At 36.4% G+C, this 23,438-nt stretch overlaps 1 long non-coding RNA gene across 1 annotated transcript; it reads left to right on the top strand.

The window, feature by feature from the left end:
• Positions 1 to 443: 443 nt before the first annotated feature.
• On the top strand, positions 444 to 23,368 carry LOC105375990 (uncharacterized). The gene is made up of 2 exons (XR_929515.2): positions 444 to 5,520; positions 22,949 to 23,368. It is a non-coding gene; the product is annotated as an uncharacterized LOC105375990 (long non-coding RNA).
• The last annotated feature ends 70 nt before the right edge of the window (positions 23,369 to 23,438 follow it).

Here is a 23,438-nt window from a genome sequence, read left to right as displayed (position 1 = left end):
CACTTGAGGGGCTTATGATTTTATTCTGGGTTTACACAATCTTAAGTCAAAATAGAAAATAAGGAAAAAAGCCAGACGCGGTGGCTCACTCCTATAATCTCAGCATTTCGGGAGGCCGAGGTGGGTGGATCACCTGAGGTCAGAAGTTCCAGGCCAGCCTGGCCAACATAATGAAACCCCATCTCTACTAATAATACAAAAATTAGCTGGGTGTGGTGGCAGGTGCCTGTAGTCCCAGCTACTAAGCTGCTCGGGAGACTGAGGCAGGAGAATCACTTGAGCCCAGGAGGCAGAGGTTGCAATGAGCCGAGATGGCGCCATTGCACTCCAGTCTGGGTGATAAGAGCACAACTCTGTCTAAAAAAAAAAAAATAAGAGGAAAAAAGTTATATTCTCAAAGATGTTTCTTTGAAAAATTATCTTAAATAGTAAACATTGTAAACAAACTAAATTTCAACAAAAGGATAAATTAATCAATTATTGTACATTAATTCAATGAGTCATACAGTTATAAAATGATAATTATAAAGATGTTACAGACACATAGAAAATAGTTTTTATAAATTTTAGAAGAAAAAAGTGAGCAGCTTATTGAAAATGTTATATGATTTCAATTGTGTTAAATATATATGCTGCTGAAAGAAGAAGGGATAGAATGAAACTGTTTTATAAAAATCATTTTAGTGTCGTAGAATTGTGGCTTTTTAATTTTTAAAAATTATCTTTAATTTTATGGTATTTAAAATAAAGAGAATGGAAATAAAATGCAGGGCTTTTTAAAAAAACATCTTGACAGCTTAAGTATAAAGACTTGAAAGAAAAAAATCAGTTCTCCTTCAAAAACAGCTTATAATTCATATATTCAATATTTCTTAAATATTGAAATATTTCTAGCACCTACTATATCCTCTGAGCATTTCTGTTTCTTTTACCATATGTGTCTTGCTACAACACACAAATTTATTATTATACAATTATGTATGTCAGAAGTCCAGTATAAGTCTCACTGGGCTAAGGCTTTGTTGCCAAGGCTTTGTTCCTTTCTAGAGGTTCCAGATAAGAATACATTTCCTTACATTTTTCATCTTCCAGAAGCTGCCCACTTTCATTAGCATGTGGTCCCCTTTCTCCATCTTCAGAGTCAGCATCATTCCATTTCTTTGACTCCTCTTTCCATGGTCTCATCTCTCCCTGACTACAGCTAGGACAGGTTCTCCACTTTTAAGGACCTATATAATTAGATTTGGCCCACCAAGGTGATCCATAATGATCTCCCATCTCAAAGTCCATAACCTTAATCATATCTGTGAAGTCCCATTTGCCAGCTAGGGTAATGAAGGAAATGAAAATATTTTATCCAAAAATATATTTGTTTGCCATATTTTGAGATGGCTGTCCCAGAGCCAGCAGACTGAAGTGGCCCTTCAAAACTGTCTTTTGTAGGGAAAATTTGCAACCATAGAGAATCTCCATTAATTCAACTAGGCCTTACCTTGTCCTGATCTAGGGAAGATTAACTAAGAGTCTGGCACCTTTAAAGATTCCAAAAGAAACAGAAATATTTACCATCTGTCCCTTCTGAAGGCTGCTACCTATGAGGTTTGATCTACATAACAAGACAACCTTTGCTAGCCAAGCGTCCTCTTCTCTCCCTTCATAACCTGTCTTGCCACTAAAACCTGACTTACCAACATAATCTATTTTTGGCAATGCTCTGAGCCCTCATTCTTTCTGTAATCTCAAGATGGTAGATAAGCTTCTTTTTTTTTTTTTTTCACCCCTACTGGGGGATTAGGTGTTTATTCCGAAAGCTCCTATGTATACATGTGAAATAAATTTGTATGCCTTTTTTTCCTATTAATCAATCTGCCTCATATCAATCATTTTCAACAGAGCTTCAGGGGACCAAGGACCTTGGCCTCTACAGTTACCTGTGTATAGGCTTTGAGAATTAGGACCCAGACGTCTTTGGGGGAGAAGGCATGATTCTGCCTTCATATTCACTGTTGTGATTCATTCATACATGTCTAATGAAGTACCTAATTTTTAAAAATAATCTTAAAACTTGGTTTCTTGTGCTATTTATTTTTATAAAAGAATATTTTTTCCAAACACTGACAAAGTATCTGCTAGTTATAAAGAACGTAGTTATGAATTTTTAAAACTAATTCATGAATCTCTCTCCCTTTTTTCCCTCCTTCATGAGTATTTAGCCTAAAAGATATTAGGTTGAGTATATGCTAGATAGAAACACGTGCTGGAAGGGAGATAGGTACAGTGGCCTTGTGCAATGAGACACAGGAGATATTTATATGTGGGTGGTGGGTAAAGGAAGAGAATGGACTGGTGGTACAGCCACTATAATGGGATGCTAGATTGAGGGTGGGGTGAGGAAGTGAGGGGTAAAAGGTGTAAGAAACCTGAGAGGAGGAGGAGCACATTCTTTTGGCAAAGCTCTGAGTAGTCATACTCAAGAGTGTGAGAGGGACAGCTATGTAAGGGGTATATAACAGTGTAAGCAGCTTGGTGAGATATCAGAAACCCAAGTAGGTAAAGAGGCTGTCTGCATGTGGGATGGTTGTGGTCCCACCGTAATTTGTTACAGCCCAAGCATAGCACAGATGGCTTCCACATGGAGATAGGGCACAGCAATGATATCCATGACTTGGCACAGAGCGTCAAAGCCCAAGGAGGGTAAGAACACATTCTTTGTAGGTAGGAGCACCATATTGCAGGGGCTCAGAGACTGGACATGGTGAGGAATGCATTCACAATCCACACAGTCTGCCACAGACACTATGTCCTGAGATAATTAAGAATATTTCTACTTCAGACCTGGAGGAGGATTTTGTAGCAGGGGGTTGACAATGAACAACAGTGAAATGCTGAAGTCTGGGTGAGGTGGAAAGAGCATTCACATGGTGAAGTGGAGGGGAAGAAATGTTGGTTATGTAAAGGTAGGATTTATCAAATAAATAAAAATATTGGGAATAATAGGAGCAAGATTTCTCAGGTTGAAAAAGGAAGTTATAGAAAAAGGAAGTTATAGAAAATGCAGAAAAATTAGGATAAAACTTCTAGCACTAGTATTGGATTGGAATTGGAGATATTTGTGTGAACTTAAAGTTTTAATGCATATAGATGGATACAGAAAGAATATAGGTGTGTATGTATTGCAGGTGTATGCATGCTTACCTCCTCAAGCTCTGCTCACTGAGAGGGCTTTGAGACATCAACACCCATGTAATAATGAGCATGTCTAGCCTCAGATTTTGTTTTCTGAAGGTCATTTTTCACTAAAATAAAACATAGCTCCTTGGATCAATGGCTAATTTCAGGACTAAGGGAAAAAAATGTAAAATGAGCCATTAACATCATGTGGTACATGAAAATAAGGAAGTGCTCAAATAATCATAAGGATATATCAAAAGGACAACAACAAAAGAGCTAGCTTGAATGAGCTCTCACTAGTCAGATAGGGAAAAATTTGTGTATCTAAATAAATAATGATATCAACAGATTTTAACCTATGAAATAATATTGGAATGCATTTGTGATAAAAATACACATATACATATGCAGAGGGAAAATCTTGTTAATTAATAAAATAAAAGGAATAATAGATTTGATGAAAATCGCCTATTGGCATCTATCATCCCAATATTTAATTCATGCAGAAAACATTAGTGGGTGGTAAAAGTTTGATGAGAAACAGAGTATTTATATAGTCTCAAAGTATCGTCCTTCAATACACTTATTAAGTTGGGGAAAAAAGTAACTTCACCATAGTGAAAACTAGAAGACACCACCTTAATCAAATGTTCAAAATTAACATCATCAAAATGGGACAAATCAAATCATTACCACCTGATAAGATGCAATCACAAACATTACCTCTGTGATATTCCTGCCAAAACCATTTAATCAGAGGAAGCATCAGAGAAACACAAATTGAAAGGCATTCTCTAAATAACTGGCTTAAAATCTTCAAAAGTGTCAAGGTCATGAGAGAAAAGAAGACAGAAGAAGGAGGTTGAAGAAGATTAAAAATACAGGGCATCTAAATGCAGTATATGATCTTAAACCAGGGCTGGCTTTATGGGCATGTAGTTTGTGTAGTGGCACAGGGCCCTGTACTTGGAAGAGCCTATGTTTGATTTAATGTTCTGCTGTTGTCCTCTCAATTCTTAACAATATTTCAAAAGGCTCACATTCATTCTGAAGTGAGCCCCAGGTCCCCACTGAGTAGCCAGTCCTGTTCAGATTGAATCCTTTTTCTAAAAAAGGACATTATGGGGACTATTGACACAATTTGGATTGGGACTACAGTTTAAATGATAATAATGAAATGTTATGTCCTGATTTTGGTAATTATATTGAATTACATCAAGGAATGTCTTTGTAGGAAACACACACTAAAATATTTGGGTGTTAGGCAAAATGTGACTGAGTAACTTTCAAATGATTTAGGGGAAATACTTTCTGCACTATAATTACAACCTTTCTGTAAGTTTGAAATTGTTTTAGAATAAAAAGAAAAAAAGCAATTCATCATATCCTCTGTAAAATCAAGAATTGGTGAATTCAAACAACATGTATGGAGGGATTTGAAGGGCATTATACTGAGTGAAATAAATAAAGTCTAAAGGTTACTTACTATACATAGCATTTATAAAACATTCTCAAAGTGATAATATCAGGTCATTGGCTGCTGAGGGTTAGAGTTCAAAGAGGGTGTGATTATTAAGGGATAATACAGGACATTTCTTTGTGGTGATGAAACAATTCTAGATGATCCAGAATTTTAATGTAGGAAGGGCTTAGGGCAAAAAATATGGTAAGAAAATTTACAGGAAGAGAGTAAGAATGAGGGTTATCTTAAAGCTGTATTCGTATGGGGAGCCCACTGATATGACCCAAGCTATTTTGGTTATTGGGCCACCAAAACCAAATAGGACTGTGGGACTTTATCAAAAGGTAGACAAAATGGGAGGAGGCTTAAGCCCCTGAAGGCATTTTATAAGATCCTCATTAATCTAAGAATTTTTTCATAAACTACATTTGAGGCCTGGTAGCTCATGCCTATAATCCTAGCTCTTTGGTAGGCCAAGGTGGGAGAATCACTTGAGCTCAGGAGATCAAGACCAGTCTGGGCAACATAGCAAGATCCTTGTCTACACATATACACACAAAAATAATTAGTGTGGTAGTGCACTGGACAGTCAATTTATCAAGACAGGGAAATAGAGAAAGAGTAATTAACATAGAACCTCTGTGCAGGTGACCAGGATTCTATTGTTACTCAAATCAGTCTCCCTGAAAACTTGGGGATCAGGGTTTTTAAGGACAATTTGGTGGGTAGGGGCCAGTGAGTCGGGAGTGCTGATTGGTTGGGTCGGAGATGAAATCATAGGGAGTTGAGGCTGACCTCTTGTGCTGTCATTTCCTGAGTGAGGGCAACAAGACCAGAGGAGCCACTTTATCGATCTGGGTGGTGCCAACTGATCCATCAAGTGCCAGGTCTGCAAAATATCTCAGACAGTGATCTTAGGTTTTACAATAGTGATGTTATCACCAGGAGTAATTTGAAGAGGTTTAGAATCTCGCAGGCAGCCTCCAGCTGCATGACTCCTAAACCACAATTTTTAATCTTGTGGATAATTTGTTAGTCCTGCAAAGGCTGTTATTGTCTTTGTTTCAAACTATAAACTAAATTCCTCCCAAAGTTAATTTGGCCTACACCCAGGAGTGAACAAGAACAGCTTGGGGATTACAAGCAAGATGGAGTTGGTTAGGTCAGATCTTTTTCACTGTAATAATTTTCTCATTTATAATTTTGCAATGGCAGTTTCAAGCTTGTCTCAAAAATAATTTTTTTTAACTAAATTTGATTAAAAGTTGAACATTGTTCCTATAGAGAAAATATTTTATTTACATCATTTGTTAGTTAAAATATTCTCAAATAGGACAAAAATCTCCTTTACGAAAAGGTTTTGAAGACCCCTTTCTTAACCAGTGAGCTAAGATAGAAAACCATGAAAGGCTATGTTTTTATGCTTATATATATAATCCCACAAAAAGTTAAAAGTTGATGAAGACAATCTAAGGTTCCACTCGATTTCACGAAATTTTAGACAAGCTTTTATCTCACCTAGGACCCTGACCTTCCTTTTCTTAGAACATTTACTCTAGAAAACACATAATTGTACATCCTTTCTCTGGCCCTTTGAGACGTAAATTTTTTGAAAGCTTCTAACTCGTTATAGAACTGAAGAATGGCTTTTTGAAGGATCTGAGAGCCATTCTATCGAAGTGTAATTGTCAAGAAAGATAAACCACCCCTCCTCATCCCCCCACTTCAGTTTCTGTGGGAGAGTGGGGGCCTAACGTTGCCTTTGTTCCAAGCTGTAAAATTGCCTCCAGTCATGAAGATACAAGAAAAGTGATTTTTCCTTTGAGTAAGGCCAATTAGCAAACTCAGATGGCCCCTATCCCAACTTTTAAAAACTCTCCAGCTCTTTGGCGTAAGGGTGGGTGGTGGGTGACTGGGTATTCAGGCATCCTATTGCTGACAATAGTATAGAAATGAAATCAACTTCTCTCTGCTTATTTTGTCTGGTGCAATGTTTTTCTCTTTGATAATGTTGAAAACTGATTACAAATCTCAGTCCACATATTTTCCAATTTGGGGAATATTTCTAGAATTCTAAAAAAAAACAACAAAATATGAATTTATTTTTATTTTACTGAAGGGCACAAATGATAAATGGATTGACCAAAGTAGTTTCAAGGCTAGTCTAGTTTTACTTAAAATATATAGAGATTATATATATAGGAAGGTTTTCATACAATGTCCATTAAAATTAATAATTTCAAATTACTGTCAGAGGCATGTGAATCCATCTTGAATAGGAGCTGGGTAAAATGAGGCTGAAACTTACTGGGCTGCATTCCCAAACAGTTAAGGCATTCTAAGTCACAGGATGAGATTGGAGGTCTGCACAAGATACAGGTCATAAAGACCTCACTGATAAAACAGATTGCAGTAAAGAAGCTGGCTAAAACCCACCAAAACCAAGATAGCCACGAGTGACCTCTGGTCTTCCTCACTACTACGCTCCCATCAGCGCCATGACAGTTTACAAATCCCATGACAACATCAGAGAGTTACCCTATATGATCTAAAAAGGGGAGACATGATAATCCACCCCTTGTTTGGCATATCATCAAGAAATAACCATAAAAATGGGCAACCAGCAGCCCTCAGGGCTGCTCTGTCCATGGGGTAGCCATTCTCTTACTCCTTTACTTTCTTAATAAACTTGCTTTCACTTTGCACTGTGGACTCACCCTGAATTCTTTCTTGTGTGAGATCCAAGAACCCTCTCTTGGGGTCTGGATTGGGACCCCTGTCCTGTAACATTACTGTCCTTTTATAAAATAATAGAAAATCAGGTAGCAATTGCCCCCGTAACTGCTGAGCTTGGAAACAAGTAATTCAATATAGATTAAACACCTATAAAAAAGGGAAGGAAGAGTTAATTGAGTGAACGATTCCATTGCTTAGGTAACTTAGGAAAGACTGCATGGTCTGTTCAAAATCTTTTTTTGTTTCTGGAACCGATGATGAAAAATAAAGAAATACAGGATATAGAGAAAGGCACTTCAGAACATCTTAGATATTGGATAGGCAACTCTGAGAAGTAAGGCTAGTTACTTGTAATGAGAATACTGAGGCTGAAACAGAAGATGTTTAATTTACTCGAATTCAAGTCTTAGCCTGAGTACTCTATTTACATTATTGGTAGAAATACAACTAGTCTTTCAGGCTAAAAATTTAGTAGTCATACTAGGCTTCTTACTTCTTCCCATAGTCCCATAGTACCATAGTACATCTCCAGGAGAGATGTCCTTTAATCCTTTGTTTGCCAGATAAATATGACTCTATCAGTCTAAGGACAGCCTAACATTTCACTCAGTTTAATCATTGGTAAAGGCTTTTATCACACTTAAGATTTAAGTGGGGAAGGTTTATCACAAACCTAGAGCCTGGAATTTTTTTTCAATGGCTCAATCTGCTGAAGGGAAAAACTATAATCATTTTTCTGAGAGTAGAAAGAACAGTTGACTTTACTAAGAGGTTTTTAATAACAGTTGTGCTTAGAGGGTAAGAGTATCTATATTAGTTTAGTTGTTTGTATTATTTAAGCTGTTTTCCTTATTCTGCAATTCTCACACTTTAGCATAAAGTAATTCACCTGGAGTTGAGCTCTGTCTCTAGAATTTCAGACAGAGTAGGTCATACTTTGGTGATGCTGATGCTGCTGGTCTGACAGTCACATCTGAGAAGGACAGCCTTAGTGGATCTTGACTATGCTTGTAAAATAAATGCAGAATTGAGTATTAGTGCATAATTATTTTTATAATAATGAATTGTGCATGAAAACGAAAAAGGAAGGAAAATACGTTACTCTCTCATCTTTCATTCATAGCCGGATGAAATCTTCATGTTTAAACTTTAGATCCACTCTTCATTTGATGTAAACACTACTAATATTCCACTCTTCATTTGATGGAAACATTTACCAATATAGGCAAACTATCTGGGAAGAAAAAACAAATCTTTTGGGCTTGTTTTTCAAAATCAACTATTTCAAGTGACAGCAAATTTCAGCAATGAGTGCTGAAAACTGATCTATAAGTCACCATCCTATCTAATTTCAGATTAATATTGCTCCTACAAAATTACCCGGTGAAAAAGTGTGTCATGAAGAATATCTAGTTCACTGTTATTTTCTAGAAATACAGACCTAACAGCTTCTGTTTTTAGGGGAAAAAATAATATCCTATTGCTTTTTTTATTTTTATTTTTTTGAGACGGACTCTCTCTCTCCCTGTTTCCGAGGCTGAAGTGCAGTGGCATGATCACGGCTCACTGCAACCTCGGCATCCTAGGCTCAAGCAATCCTCCTGCGTCAGCCTCCTGAATATCGAATAAATAAATAAATTTTTAAAAAGATAAAAATTTAAAATATCATATACAGCACTTGGAAAACTGAAGAATATTTAAAAAACTAAATATTACTACCTACCAATAACAATTATCAACAATTTACTGGTTTTGTTCTGTCTTTTTATTAATATTATTTATTTGGTTGGGATGATAGTGAATATTCAAATTAGATTCTTCATATTTTTGCTTCAGAATTAAAAGAAATATTTACTCATGACTAAATACTTTCGCAAACATGATCTTTAGTAACTACATCAACATTTACTATAGATATATAATATAAATTACTTGATTCCATACGTTTGACAAGATAACTTTAAAATAATCACTTTAGGTTCTTAGCACTAGTCTCTAAAATGAGTTTCTTTTTCTAACAGAAAAACAGGGCTCTTGTTGACTGTGGCAATGCTAATCCCTACAAATGTATTACTGACATTAACCCATTTACATCACTGTCACTGATATATTGTAGAAGGTAGGACTATTATCAACTTTAATGTAGTTCAAGAAAAATTTTACTAAGTTTCTCTGGAGAGAAGAATTGAATAACACTTTAAACATTGGTCTCCCCAGCTATAAAATCAGTGGCTTGGGATAGCATGAAAGCAGTGGAGGTAGTGATTAAAGAAATAGCTTCTGTAAAAAAAACTTCCAGATGGTGAACATGGGGCAGTATGTCCCCGAATGAAAGGCAGCTTTAGAAAATGCCATAAAAAGCATTTAAGCCATTCAGAGCTCTGGTAGGAAGTTGAAATGAAACCTTCCAGTGATTCTGTTTGGGTGTTGGGGGAGAGAGAGTGTGGCTTCAAGTCAAAGTATATTTTAGTTACTACTCTAAATGTTTCTCACAGACTATTATTATCCTTCCTCAAACCAGTGCCAGGAGAAATAACTAAAACTACTCTGTGTCATTATTGTGTCTAGATATTTATTTATTTATTTATTTTTCATTTTAGGAGTAGAGCCCTTACTAGATGCACATAAGCATCAAATAAGTATAATAGTTACTTACTCATATTGGTGCTCCCAGATCTTAGCACTGTGTTTGGGCCACATTGAATATTCAATTAACGTTTGTTGAAATCATAAATGAAAGTTTAAAACAGTCTAAAAGTTAAGTAGGTGTCTTGCTATTTCTCAAATATTTCAAGCACACCCTCACCTCCAGGAATCTGCACTGGTTATTCTCTTTGCCTACAGTGCTTTTCTCCATGACTTTCTTCTTCTCTTTTCAATCCCCCCACATGTTACCTTCCCAGTGAGGCCTTCCCTGACAACCATATTTAAAACTTCAGTCATCTTTCCCACATCCACACACCCACAGAACCACTTCCTATCTCCTTTCTCTGCTTATCTTTAGCCATTACACTTATGGCCATCTGATTAACTATGCATTTTCTTTAGTTATTCACTTATATTCTGTATTTTTTCTCTAGAACATAAGTCTTACGAAGGCAGGGAATTTATTTTATCTTCTGACATATTCTCAATGACTGAAAAAAAATGCTGGGGGTGGGTGTGGAGGCTCACAATTCTAATCCCGGGACTTTGGAAGGCTGAAGCAGAAGGGTCATCTGAGGCCAGGAGCTCAAGATCAGCCGATCAGCCTGAGCAACTTAAAGAGACTCCCTCTCTCCCTTTCTCTCTGTCTCTCTCCATATAGATAGATGGATAGATAGATACACACACACACACACACACACACACACACACTATATAGAATAAAAACATTAAAAAGTAAATAAATTGCTTGGCATGTGTTTGGTGTTCAACAACTTGTAGAATATATAAATGGATGAATGCATATTATACCATTCCATGAACCAATGCTGCTGAGAATGCAATGGATGTACTGCATCATTGGACACTGAGGTTAACAAACATAAGGCAAAATAGTATAGCAGAATTGCTTACCCACGATAGAACCAGAACAGAGTGAATTCTATTAACTTCATATGGCTGAAACTTTTAAGAGTTCTTTAGATATAACTGCAATGAAAACTGGAACCACACTTTAGTTATGTTTTTGGTACACATTTATGTTTCAGTTCACGGTTTAATAAACCACATAGGTCATTTTATAGTGAAGGATTAGTCATTCTCAGTTATTCCTGATTTTTTTCACATAAAATGTTAATTAATTTAAATGACCCTTGAGGAATTGTTCAAAATAGACAAATGGTTCAGCCTGACCCGAATTAAAGTCAAGATTCTGAGGTTTGGAAGAGTAATTCTCCCTATAAAATAGTCTTTTTAAAAAATATACAGGCTAAATAAAATTTATCCATTCTAATGGTGCTACATTTTGTGATGATAGAGTCTAGGCAAAAGATCAGATAAAGATACATTTATCCCTTCTTTGCCTAAATACACTTCATTTATAACCTCCAATCCCCTACCTTGCTCAAAATAATTAAATGGCTAAATACACTCAAGATTACTCATTGCGTTATATCCTCTTATTAACTCAGGTTTACTCAAAATATGTAACAGCAGCTGGATCCTAGAATCAATTTCAAGGTCAGCCACTAACAACGTGACTATAAGTAAATTTCTTGAACTCCCTGGACTCCAGTTTATTGACCTATAAGACAAGATGGCTAGACTTCATAGAATATTGTTAAAGTCCCTTACAGTTCCAAAGCTTCACTTCATGTAATTAAAATGTTTTGTAGAAAATTGTGAGGAATCTCTAACTCCTCAAGTTATGTTTGCTTTTAAAATAGGAGCAGATGGCTGGGCACGGTGGCTCATGCCTGTAATCACAGCACTTTGAGAGGCCAAGGTGGGCAGACCACCTGAGGTCAGGAGTTTGAGACCAGCCTGGCCAACGTAGTGAAACCCTGTCTCTACTAAAAATACAAAAAACAAAAACAAACAAGCAAAAAAAAAAAAAAAAAACAAATAAAACTTAACCAGGCATGGTGGTGGGCACCTGTAATCCTAGCTACTCGGGAGGCTGAGGCAGGAGAATTGCTTGAACCTGGGAGGCGGAGGTTGCAGTGAGCTGAGCTCGTGCCACTGCACTCCAGCCTGGGTGACAGGGCAAAAATGAATCAATAAATAAAATAGGGACAGATAAATCTTGATAGATATTCATGAAATTATGTCTAAAATATTTTATAAAGGTACTTTAGTAACACCCACAGATTATTGGTCCGCAAGCAGAGCAGCCAGTCCCACTTTGTTTCCTGTCCTGAAATCCGTGGAACTCAAGGTCTTTTGCCTTATGCTTCACATCACCAGCCATTGCTGCACTGAGGATGTCATGCCTTAGAATTGCTGTAATGCCTTAGAAAGAATCCCAGGGTAAATATCCTTTAGTTATTCTGTAATAAAGAAGTATGTTGCATCCCTTTTTAAATTGGCTAAGTATTTCTTTGGAATGAGCTTGCCAATGAAAAGTGAATGAATTGCTAAGGAATAAAGAAGTAGACAGAGGATTTGATTATCTCTGTAACTATTGTAGCAAGTTGGAAAAGCAAAAGCTAAGTAGTTTGTATCACTTCTCAGGCACTTAATAACTTGAGGCAAAGAGCAAATTGTACAGATATTTCTCAACCTTAGTTTTATCTTTTTATATTAACAGTAATACCCAATTTGGGATCAGCATTGAACAGTGAGTTAGGGCTCTACAAAACTTATTTGCTATAACCTATAAAAAATTAAATAAAATGAAGCAACAACAGCTGAGCTGAAGTATAAAGTAAAAATTATGAGCAGTGAAAAAACGAAACAAGTATAAAAGAGTGAGGGATAGAGTTATTAGCTGGGCTCTGGCAGTAAGCAGTAACAACCAAAGGTTCAGTCATTGATGGGTAAGAAGAATTAAAATTACTGTGTGAGGGATGGACATCAGAGACATGCTTCCTGCCTTTGCACTCTGGGAATATTAGGAATGAATCTAAATTACATTCTGTTTCTGCGACTAGATCTGCCATAACCCCAATATCTCCTCAGATTCAGTAACCCTGAGCTAGGAGGAGATTGGTAAAAAAAAACAAAACAAAACAAAAAAAAAAACTGTTACAATATTATGTTCACAGGGAGAAAAACAAAAGCAAATTGGCCTGCAAATGAAAATTCAAGCCATGTTAGGAAAACTAATTCTGAAAAGACAGCCAACAAAATCAATAACTCCAGCAGTATTTGCAGATGGTCAAAAGACAAATATCTAAGAAGGAACAGAAACTATAAAATAAAGATATAGAAATAAAATAAGATCAAGTGAATATGCAAAAAAATTTATGAGAAAACTTTGAAATAAAGTAAAATTACAGATGTTAAAAGATAACAGTAGACAAAATAAGTATTTGACAGAGTAGAGATGAACAGAAAATTAACAAATAGGAAGAGGATACAGAGGGGTTCACTAAGAATGCACTGGAAAAGCAAAAAGATTAAGATAAGTTGAAAGAGTACTTGAGAGACATGGAGTATCGAAAAAGTGATTAAGCACTCATCTAACACAGAGGTTTGCCAAACTACTTGCCGAGACCAATATCCAGCTTGCCACCTGTTTTTATAAATAAGTTTTTATTTAAACACAACTATGCCCATTCAATGTATATATTGCTTATCACTGTTTTTATGGTACAATCGCAGAGTTGAGTAGTTGTTAACAGAGACCATATGACCTTCAAAGTCTAAAGTATTCACTCTCTCGTTCTTTGAGAAAATGTTTGTTGACGTCTGATCTAACAGGTATTAATAGATAAGACTAGTGTGAATGGTAGTAAACCAATATTTGAATCAAAAGATGATTGCAAACTTTCTACAATCTGAGAAACACATGAGTCTTCAGATTAAAAGTGCACTCCAGGCTGGGTGCGGTGGCTCATGCCTGTTATCCCAGCACTTTGGGAGGCCAAGGCGGGCAGATCACGAGGTCGGGAGATCGTGACCATCCTGGCTAACACGGTGAAACCCCATCTCTACTACAAATACAAAAAAGTAGCTGGGCGTAGTGGCGGGCGCCTGTAATCCCAGCTACTTGGGAGGCTGAGGCAGGAGATTCACTTGAACCCAGGAGGCGGAGGTTGCAGTGAGCCAAGATTGCACCGCTGCACTCCAGCCTGGGTGACAGAACGAGACTGTGTCTCAAAAAAAAAAAAAAAAAAAAAAAAAGCGTATACTCCAAGTACGGAACAGGAAAATAAAAATAAATGCACACTGTACATAGATTTATTTCAGTGCAGTTGACTAGCTTCACAATTAGAGAAAATGTTTCAAAAGTTACTAGTGCAAAAAGATGGATTAAAAGAAGAACATGGGCTGATAGTATACTTCTTCACCACTCACTATTGAGGCAAAGAGACAATGAGAAATAGTCTCAAAACACCAAGTGAAAATAACTACCACAAGTTTATGTACAGGCAAATAAACCTTGAAAAGTGGAGGCCAAATAGAGCCATTTTCAGACATACAAAGCCTGATAAATCTTACTGCCTATTGAAACTCAAAAAAAAAGATGCATTTTAGAAAAAAAAAAAGACAAAGGGGAAGGTACAGGAAACAAGTTATAATGGTGACCAGAAAAATTAATAAAATACTCACTACAAAACAAGTAATATAGGTTGCATATTAAATATTAGAATGAAACTAAAATGAAATAATTATGGTAAGACTGTAGAAGCCAAGGCAGTAATTAATGCATAAAATCTGAAATATTCTGTAAAATGGTCAGGAGGATGTTAGAAATACTGATAATTATAGACTGTTCTCAAAATTAAATACCTATCTTTAAAATTAAGGAAAACACTAAGTAGAAATAAATTGGTAGCCTTCAAATGAGCAGATATATACAAGAGATTATAGAAAACTTTCTCATTCCGAAAAAAAGAAGGGTGAAAGGAGGAAGAAGGATGCCAGGAAAATAATTTTAACACAAAATAATAAGTTATTAATTAATTCATATGAAGGGTCACAATAAATATACAAAATTCCACCTTATAAGTGACAGAGGTTATTAAAATAATACTAATATTGATTATGATATTGTTGTAATGGGCAATTGAAGTAAGCAAAAGTATCTAGTGTCTGGTACATAGTAGATATACAGTAAATGGTAGGTATTATTGCTGTTGTTCTTGTTTCTGCTGCTATGGCTGACATTACCATTTAAAATGGCATGGTGAGAAAGAAATATGGACTTCAAAAAGTAACAAAATGAATATCCACATGCAGAAAATCTCAGCTGGACATCATCCAGGGCTTTAGAAAAATCAATGATATATGTATATTTTTAATAGCCAATTGAAATGTGTTTGTTATGGCTCTAACTACAACAAACACCGGCTGTCATCATCATTGACATTTTTAGTAATGATGCCAAGTATTGAAACAGCTTGGAAGATTTAAGTGCTTGGTTTCTGAAAAGAGTGCTGCTCAATGAAGACTTACGGCAATGTCAGGGATAAATAGCATGTACTCAGCAGTTATAGTGAACACTGAGGCTATATCTAATGGCCTGAGTTGTAATATTAAAAAACCAATGAAAATCGCAAACTAGGAGTTTGGAAGAGCAGAGACTCTGGTGAATGGCAGTGAAAGGACACTCACTTACACAAAAGCAGCCTTTTGGTACTTAATTCACCTTCAAGGCCATTCCAATTCTAGTGTTTTCTCTCAAAAGGCATATTTTATAAATGTTAGGTAATCTGTGAATTCTGTAAGCCAGTCAAAACTCCAAGCAAAAACCAAATTAATTTTCATCCTTAAATTATCTCACCACAGTTTAAAAAAATGCTTGGAAATTCTTCTGCAAGGCAAGATTAAAAGATAATTAAACATAGAGGATTGCGTTGTAGTGTTTGAACTATACATCTAAATTGGATTCAGAGGTGTATTAGTCTGTTCTAATACTCTCATGAAGAACTGTCTGAGACTAGGTAATTTATAAAGGAAGAGGTTTAATTGACTCACAGTTCTGCAGGGCTGGGGAGGCCTCAGGAAACTTACAATCATGGCAGAAGGGGAAGCAAATACCTCCTTCTTCACAGGGTGGCAGGAGAGAGAAGTGCCAAGCAAAGGGGAAAAGCCTCTAATAAAACCATCAGATCTCGTGAGAACTCACTCACTATCATGAAAACAGCATGGAGGTAACCAGTCCCATGATTCAATTACCTCCCACCAGGTCCTTCCCACTACAGGGGGCCATTATGGGAACTACAACTCAAGATGAGATTTGGGTAGGGACACAGACCATATCAGGAGGTATAGAGGGTGAGCAATTTATTGGTCTTCATTTTATAAATCTGTTCTGATTATTCAGAATGAAGGCTCAGGTGCTGTTTGGTGGTGGTGATGGTAGTGATTTTGCATGTCTCTGTATGTGTTTGTAAGTATGCATATATCTGTGTACCTTCATGCCTCTGCTTTAATAAGCAGGACCTAGCTGGACTGGAGAGGAACCATTGTCACTATTTTTGTTTTCAAAAACTTCAGATTCTCTTGCCAAGGTGCCAGAATTACTTTTCTTTGCATGTTCAAGAGCTCAGCTCCTCATCAAACCAGCCCTTCCCTTTGCTCTTCATGTCACCTGCTGTAGTAATTGCTGGCACTGGCAGGCTTTTATTTATTAGGAGGAAACCTGAGGTTGTTCCCATTGACAGGAAATAGTAAGAAATGTAATTTAAAAAAAAAAAAAAAAAAAAAGGAAGGAGTAGAATTCTCCAAGCATCCTGGAAAGTAAGGCATTTGGAGAGACATTGTCCTCAAACATTTTGGGCATCAACCTAATTATAAAGACATTGAGGACCCAGGGCAGCAGTGGCTCACCCTCTAAGGAGCAGCTAGAGTCTTTGGTTACCAGCAGCCCTGTGTGGGCCTGGGCTCATAAAGGAGGATGAAGGAAGAACTTGTGGGAATCTGAAAAGATTGAGCCTCAGCACTTTGTCTTTGAACACTTAGAGTAAGGGCAAGCACTTGGATGGCAACCACGTGCATTTTCTCTGCTTAACTACCTCTTTGCAGCTGGACTGATGCCTACTGTCTTAATTAGGCACCTCACTTCATACAGAAAGGATGGCACAACAGGGCTGCATCATGTTTATATGGTGTCCTCTGTCCCCTTTGGATCGTCAGAGCTGTGTTTGATAATAAAGCTGATTTGTATCTTTTTCTTTTTCTTAACCTTGGCTCTACAGCATGTGAGATGTCTGCAGCAGCACTTATCTCACCAGAGGAGCTATATCTCACTAGCCACATAACTCTACATTTGACATACCAGTGACAAAAACAATTGGGATTTAGCTCTCTCACCATAAACTTATAAAACCTGACAGCCAGGTGGTCAAACACATTTGAATGACTGCAGCTAAACACAAAGGGAAAAAAAATATATAATATATATAAATTTATATATATATACACACACACACACACACACACATATAGTGTGTAAGTAAAGCTTTCCATTCAAATTAAAAAGCGCAGCTGACAAAAACTTTCAAAACCTTGTGAAAACTGCATGGCAAAACAAACAAAAACAAACAAACAAAAAAAACTTCCCTACCTTGCAATAAGGCAAACATTCTCAGATTCTTAGTTAAGAAAAAGAATAAAATGAACTCGTTTTTGATACATGTTTGCTCTGATCTGAAATATCTTGACATATATTTGAAAACTCTGGCTATCTTTGGCTTTTGGGTCATGTTCTTATCTAAACCTCTTATGTCATTCAATGTTTTGCAAAGAAAAGCATAGATAATTTCAGATGGCGTTGGAGAAAAACAGGCCTCTAGTGTATAAACAATGCAACGTTTAGCTCTTTAACTTCTGCAGATCGCATCACGTTTTTGAGCTGACAGTAATTTGCAAGAAGGAGCAGAGACTGGGTCCAATGCTCATAAAGAATGAATTGAACCAGTTTAAAGTTATCCAAATACTTTTAAAACGAATGTAGTGAGTTATAATTTTCTGTTGCCTTGGCATCCATTTTGAATACAAGTTCAGCTTCCTCATACCGAAAGCAAGGCTCAGTCACCTTTGAGACAGTTTCCAGTTCTATACCACAACCAAATGACTTAAGCTGGTGGTCAGAGATAAGAACTTAGTGGCATCTCTTCTGCCTACCAGATAGGACTCCCCACTTTCCTGCTACCTCCTTTAAACCATTCAGGCATTTGCCTGCAAACTTAAAGGGATCCATATCCTATTACTCCCTTTTACATTCCGCTAGTTGCGCAGGTGCTTACTCTGTCTTTCTCTACCTAACTCTTCATTCTTGCCTCACATCACCTGGGGATGGAGGACTGCTCTCCTGGCCCAGGATCTGTAAGTAAAACATCTTTGAACTTGTTTCTTGCTGTGGTGGTAAATTAAATTTGCACCTTCCATTAGAACAACTAGGGGCTGTCCCAGGTTTTCCCCCTGATACCAGGGAGAACACAAAGTCAGGCTCCTAGAGCCAGAGTGACGATCAGGAAGGCATAAACTGGACAGAGGTCAGAAAAGAGCCACAAAGGCATCTGCCAAAATGAACAAATTTCCCCTGTGAGGGACTTCTGGTCACAGGTCAGACAACGAGTCTTTAGGCTGTCTGCCAGGTAAGCCAGGTAAAAGAAGTGTCCTCTGAAAGGCACACTGTAAACATCCAGGTCCAGCTCCCCTTCATTTCTCATTAGGGCAGGGCTGCTAGCACCACGGTACTGAAGACCACACTTAGCTGGAGGCTCTCAAAACAGTAGCCACTCTTCTTGACAGGTGTTAGATATGTTACCATGAAAAAGCTGTAGGGCTATAAACAGCAATTACGCTTCGACTAATCATTTATATAAGAGCTAAATTATAATGACAAAAGAGGGCTAAATATAACTGAAGGCAATGTTATATCCTATCTCTATGTGTTTCAGAATGTTAGTCATCCAAAGTAATTCAGGAGTCCCCAAGCTTTTAGAGGAAGCATCACACTATCCAGTTCAGGCATTAATAGCAGAGGATAAAACCATCTTTCACAATAGGCTTCATGGATATTTTAAATTAATGTTTTAAAAGTGACTTGAATGTGTTAAAGTACTACATGGTGATTAGATGTTGTGATTATGTGTTTATGAAGGCTATATTTATACGTTTGTATCTGGTACTGTGAGTTCAGAGCAAAAATAAATTGGCCTAGGTGGAATGGAAGTAATGAGATGAAAATGAACCGTCAGTTCTAGTGGGACAGAGGAAATAGAATAGCGAAGTAGTCCAATGGGAGATCGCATGAATGATTTGGCTGGTTATACTAGACCTTCTTGGCAAGGGCTATTGTTGGTTTTCTGGTTTCTCTTTGAACTGTCTTGAGGAAAGCTTCCTTCTTAATATGTGTATTTATGTACACATACCCCTGACCAAATTTCTAAGAAAGCAGAAGAAGGCAAGTGCTTCTCTGCCTCTGACAGTGACTCACTTATTGATTGTTAAGCCATCTTGTAGCTTCATGGACATGTTGTTGTTTCATGATGGTCAACATTTTGTCTACGTCCTTCTTTCTACCTTGATTCATGTAAACTGACATTACAAATGCTGACTGGTAGGGGTGGTAGAATGTATGAATTAAGAACACAAATTTGGAGCCAGACTTTCTTGGTTTCAATTCTAACTCTGCTATTTATTAGCTGTGTAAACTTGGGCTAATTACTTCACTTTGTCTCAGATTTCTTGTCTTAAAAGTATGATAATTATAGCTACTTTAGGATTATTGTGAGGATTAAATGGTAATCTATATAATTACCACATAGTAATAACTTTCTATGTTAGTTTTTATTATTCTTCAAATGATCTAGTAGACCGTATTTCCAGATTGCTGATGGGAGATATCATGGCATCTATGAAGACAGCAAGATATTCAGACAATGAAAAAGGAAGGAAGGAAAAGTCTAGACTGAAGCCATGACTTCCTAGGCTGAAGAGATGATTTCATTGAACACTTTACTGTTCAAACCTCATTGAGAATGTTGCTTACTTTTCAAAATTATTAAAAAATTAGTTACTGCTCTTTAAAAGTGGAATTAGGTGCCTTTACATATACCACACATGTCACCTTTAGAAAAGACAAGATAAATGACAATTTTATATGTGTACATGAAAATTATCTTTCAATTGTAAATAAGGTGTTAGTATGTACATATTTATATCACAACTCAGCAAATGAATATTTTGTAACCAAACTTGCATTTGACACTGGGAGTTAATCTGTGTCCAAAAATGTTACAGGAAGTTGGTTGGGTATAAGTAAGGAGCAAGGAGAATAATATTTGCTTCCCTCAGGAATCTAATTATTATTTCAAAATTTTATTTTTTTAAATAGAGACAGTCTTGATATATTGCCAGGTCTGGTCTTGAACTCCTGGGCTCAAGTGATTCTCCCGCCTCAGCCTCCAAAAATGTTGGGATTGCACCTGGCCCACAGTTTCAAAAGTATCTTTTGAGGTACACTTTGTTGCAGGATTTTTTTTAACTTTTATTTTAGGTTCAGGGGTACATGTGCAAATTTGTCATATAGGGAAACTCTTGTCATGGGCATTTGATGTACAGATTATTTCATCACCCAGGTACTAAGCTTAGTACTCAATAGGTACTTTTTCTGCTCCTCTCCCTCCTCCTGCCCTCTACTGTCTGGCAGGCCCGATATTGTGCAATTTTTTTTAAGTTCAATGCTAGAAGAAATAACCTGGAAACATGGCCAGTATAATTTTTCTGAGCAAAGGATTATAGATAGATATGTGGGAGTTCAGTGTCTCATAAGGAAAAGGAGGTGGAGTAATTGTAAGCAACGTGATAACCAATCAAAGCAACTGACCATTTCCTGTGATATCTACTGATGCCTGTGGTAGAAACTGACTTAAAAACATCACTAGTGAAAGTACAACTAAGAGAGTAGGAAGTAGAATTCTGAGACTTGGCAAAGCAAATATAAGGAAGCAAGAGCAAAAATGAATAACTATAGCACACATGATAATCCATAATCACTCCTAATACTTTAAAGTATTTCAATTTATCAACAATTCTTGCCTACCTTCAGAAATGTAGCTTTCAAATACAGAATCAAACATACATTTGCTGTGATGCAGACTGTCAATGGAGACCACAGCTGTATATGAGTATTGGTTTAGGACTTGACTATTTTATTCAAAATCTAAAATATAAATTCACAATCTAGCATATCTAATGACGGATATTTACAGAGTGTAGCCTTTATTTTGTTTGTACTTAAATTCCCCCTTCACCCTTCCAGTGCTCTGCTTTGTACTGCAGGGACAAATATTTCTCATGCTCCTCACTGTGCTCTCTGGTTTCCAGGTAAGTCTAGTTAATGCGAGGCACTGAGAAAAGATTGGAAGACAAGTGGAGGTGAGAATCCAGGTTCCCTCCCTCTCCTTCCATAGGACCAACCAGAGAAAGCCAAACATTTTCCCCTTAACCAATCACACAGAATGCCCACTTCTAACTAGCTTGCTTACAGCTTCTCTATGTCAACAGCTTCCAAGCAGAAAATACCTGAAGCCTTTCTCTTTTATTTTTTGCACTGTGAAGCTTTCCCACCATTCTGCCTGCCTTTGAGTCTTTGCCAAATACAAGTGATGGTAGCTGACTCCTTTGCTATAGCTCTGAATAAATAGCCATTGCATGTCCTCATTTAGGCAGTCATTTATTTCCTCCTGTATCCTTCCTTCCTTCTTTCTTCTTCCTTTAGTTTCGAATATATAATTTCGTCTATATTTGTTAATATTTGATGGTGCTGGTTTATAAGGTAGACATATTTGTAACATTAGAAGCCTTTTATCTGGCCTAAGCATAGACCTATTTCCAAGAATATGGAGGATTACATTAAATCTAATTTAATGGACTATGATAAATACTCCAATTAAAAGTCACAATTTTTAAGTCAATTAAAAAGTTATGTCTGTCTATGTGTTGTCTTTTTCTAAATAGTTAAGGAAAACATCTAGTTGAAGAGGACCTTATAGGATAGACTATGGATTTTCAGAACCAGAAACAGCTGGTAGTAAATAATTGAATATCATCTTTTCCTACAATGCTTTCTGGCCATACAACCTAACGGTGTGTACCCTATCCCAAGCTCAAAGACAGACAAACTGATTTGCCCTGGATTTTTTTTCTTATTAATATATCCCTTTAAGTAATAGAACTAAAATTCAAAAGCAAATTAAAAGGTAAATTGAATGAAATCACCTGATTGCATGTCATTTCACTGTATGCTTAGGAAGTGAACCCATTTTACTTTTTAACTGGTCTAAAATTTCAAAAAGGCACAGAAAAAATGTAAATGAAATAACAATAACTATTTCACATTATTCCTAGGATAAAATTGAGAAATGGTCTACATACTATAACCCCACAAGTTGCTCTTTCCTAATGTCACATCAAATAGAAATGGAAAGTTCTATTTAAAGCCAGTGTAAAATATGCACAAACTAAAAGCAGAAATGGGAATCTATCACTTCATTTTGTAGCAGAAAGCTGAAATTTATTTTTTATTTTTAATTGCAGAATAACATGAGAAAAATAATAATTACTATATTTTATACATTATATATATTCAATATATATAATAACTGATTTTGTAGTAAAAAGCTTATTTGATTTAATGATATCAGAGATAATGCTCACCGTGGTATGTACATTTTAGGTATAATTTTATATCAAAGAAAGAACTGATGTTTTTAGTTTAGATTGCAATATATTGGAATCTCTTGTTTACTTAAGTGACAGGAAGCGGTGGAGTTTCATTTTAATGTAATGACAGTGTTTTTTAACAGGCTACACATAATATCAAATCATGAGTTTGAGGGACCACAATGTTAAGTGTCTGAAATATGCTTCATGATGATATAGATTTTCTATGTGGAATAAATAATGTTTGAGTAAATCAATTTTTTGCTTACAGAATAAAATACTGTGTCTGACAATATTAAATTTCATCCACAGCCTACACATTAGCATAATGTGGATTTTCCAAGCTACTTTTATACATGAAATAATATAAGCTGTAATGAGTGAAAGTAAGCACGGATTTTTCAGCAGTACTTTCCAGAAATTTTGATGGAAGATCAGCTTTTTGTAGCTGGAGAAGTTGGATTAAAAAATGACCACAGAGAAATTGAAAGATGTCCAGTAGAAGGTCTGTAGACTTCATTCCAATTCAGCATATCCATGAGGTCACCAAGAAATTAAGTCACCAAGAAGTTAATTTCCTCAAGAAAGGACCCTTGAAGAAAGTTGCTATTATTAAGTCGATTAGGGTGTAGTGGCAGGAAAAAAAGTAAGGACTGATTTCTAAGAAACATAAAAATGAAAACATTAAAGAAAAACCCTAAATTTCATTGAAGAATAAATTGTGGGACTGAGCCACAGAACAAAACTGAATATTTATATCATCACCACATGTATAGTTAGTGATATATCTATTTTCTGGGAG

This window comes from Homo sapiens, chromosome 9 (assembly GCF_000001405.40).
Source record: "Homo sapiens chromosome 9, GRCh38.p14 Primary Assembly".
Classification (NCBI taxonomy): Eukaryota; Metazoa; Chordata; class Mammalia; order Primates; family Hominidae; genus Homo; species Homo sapiens.
This window is presented reverse-complemented; position numbering and strand designations above follow the sequence as displayed.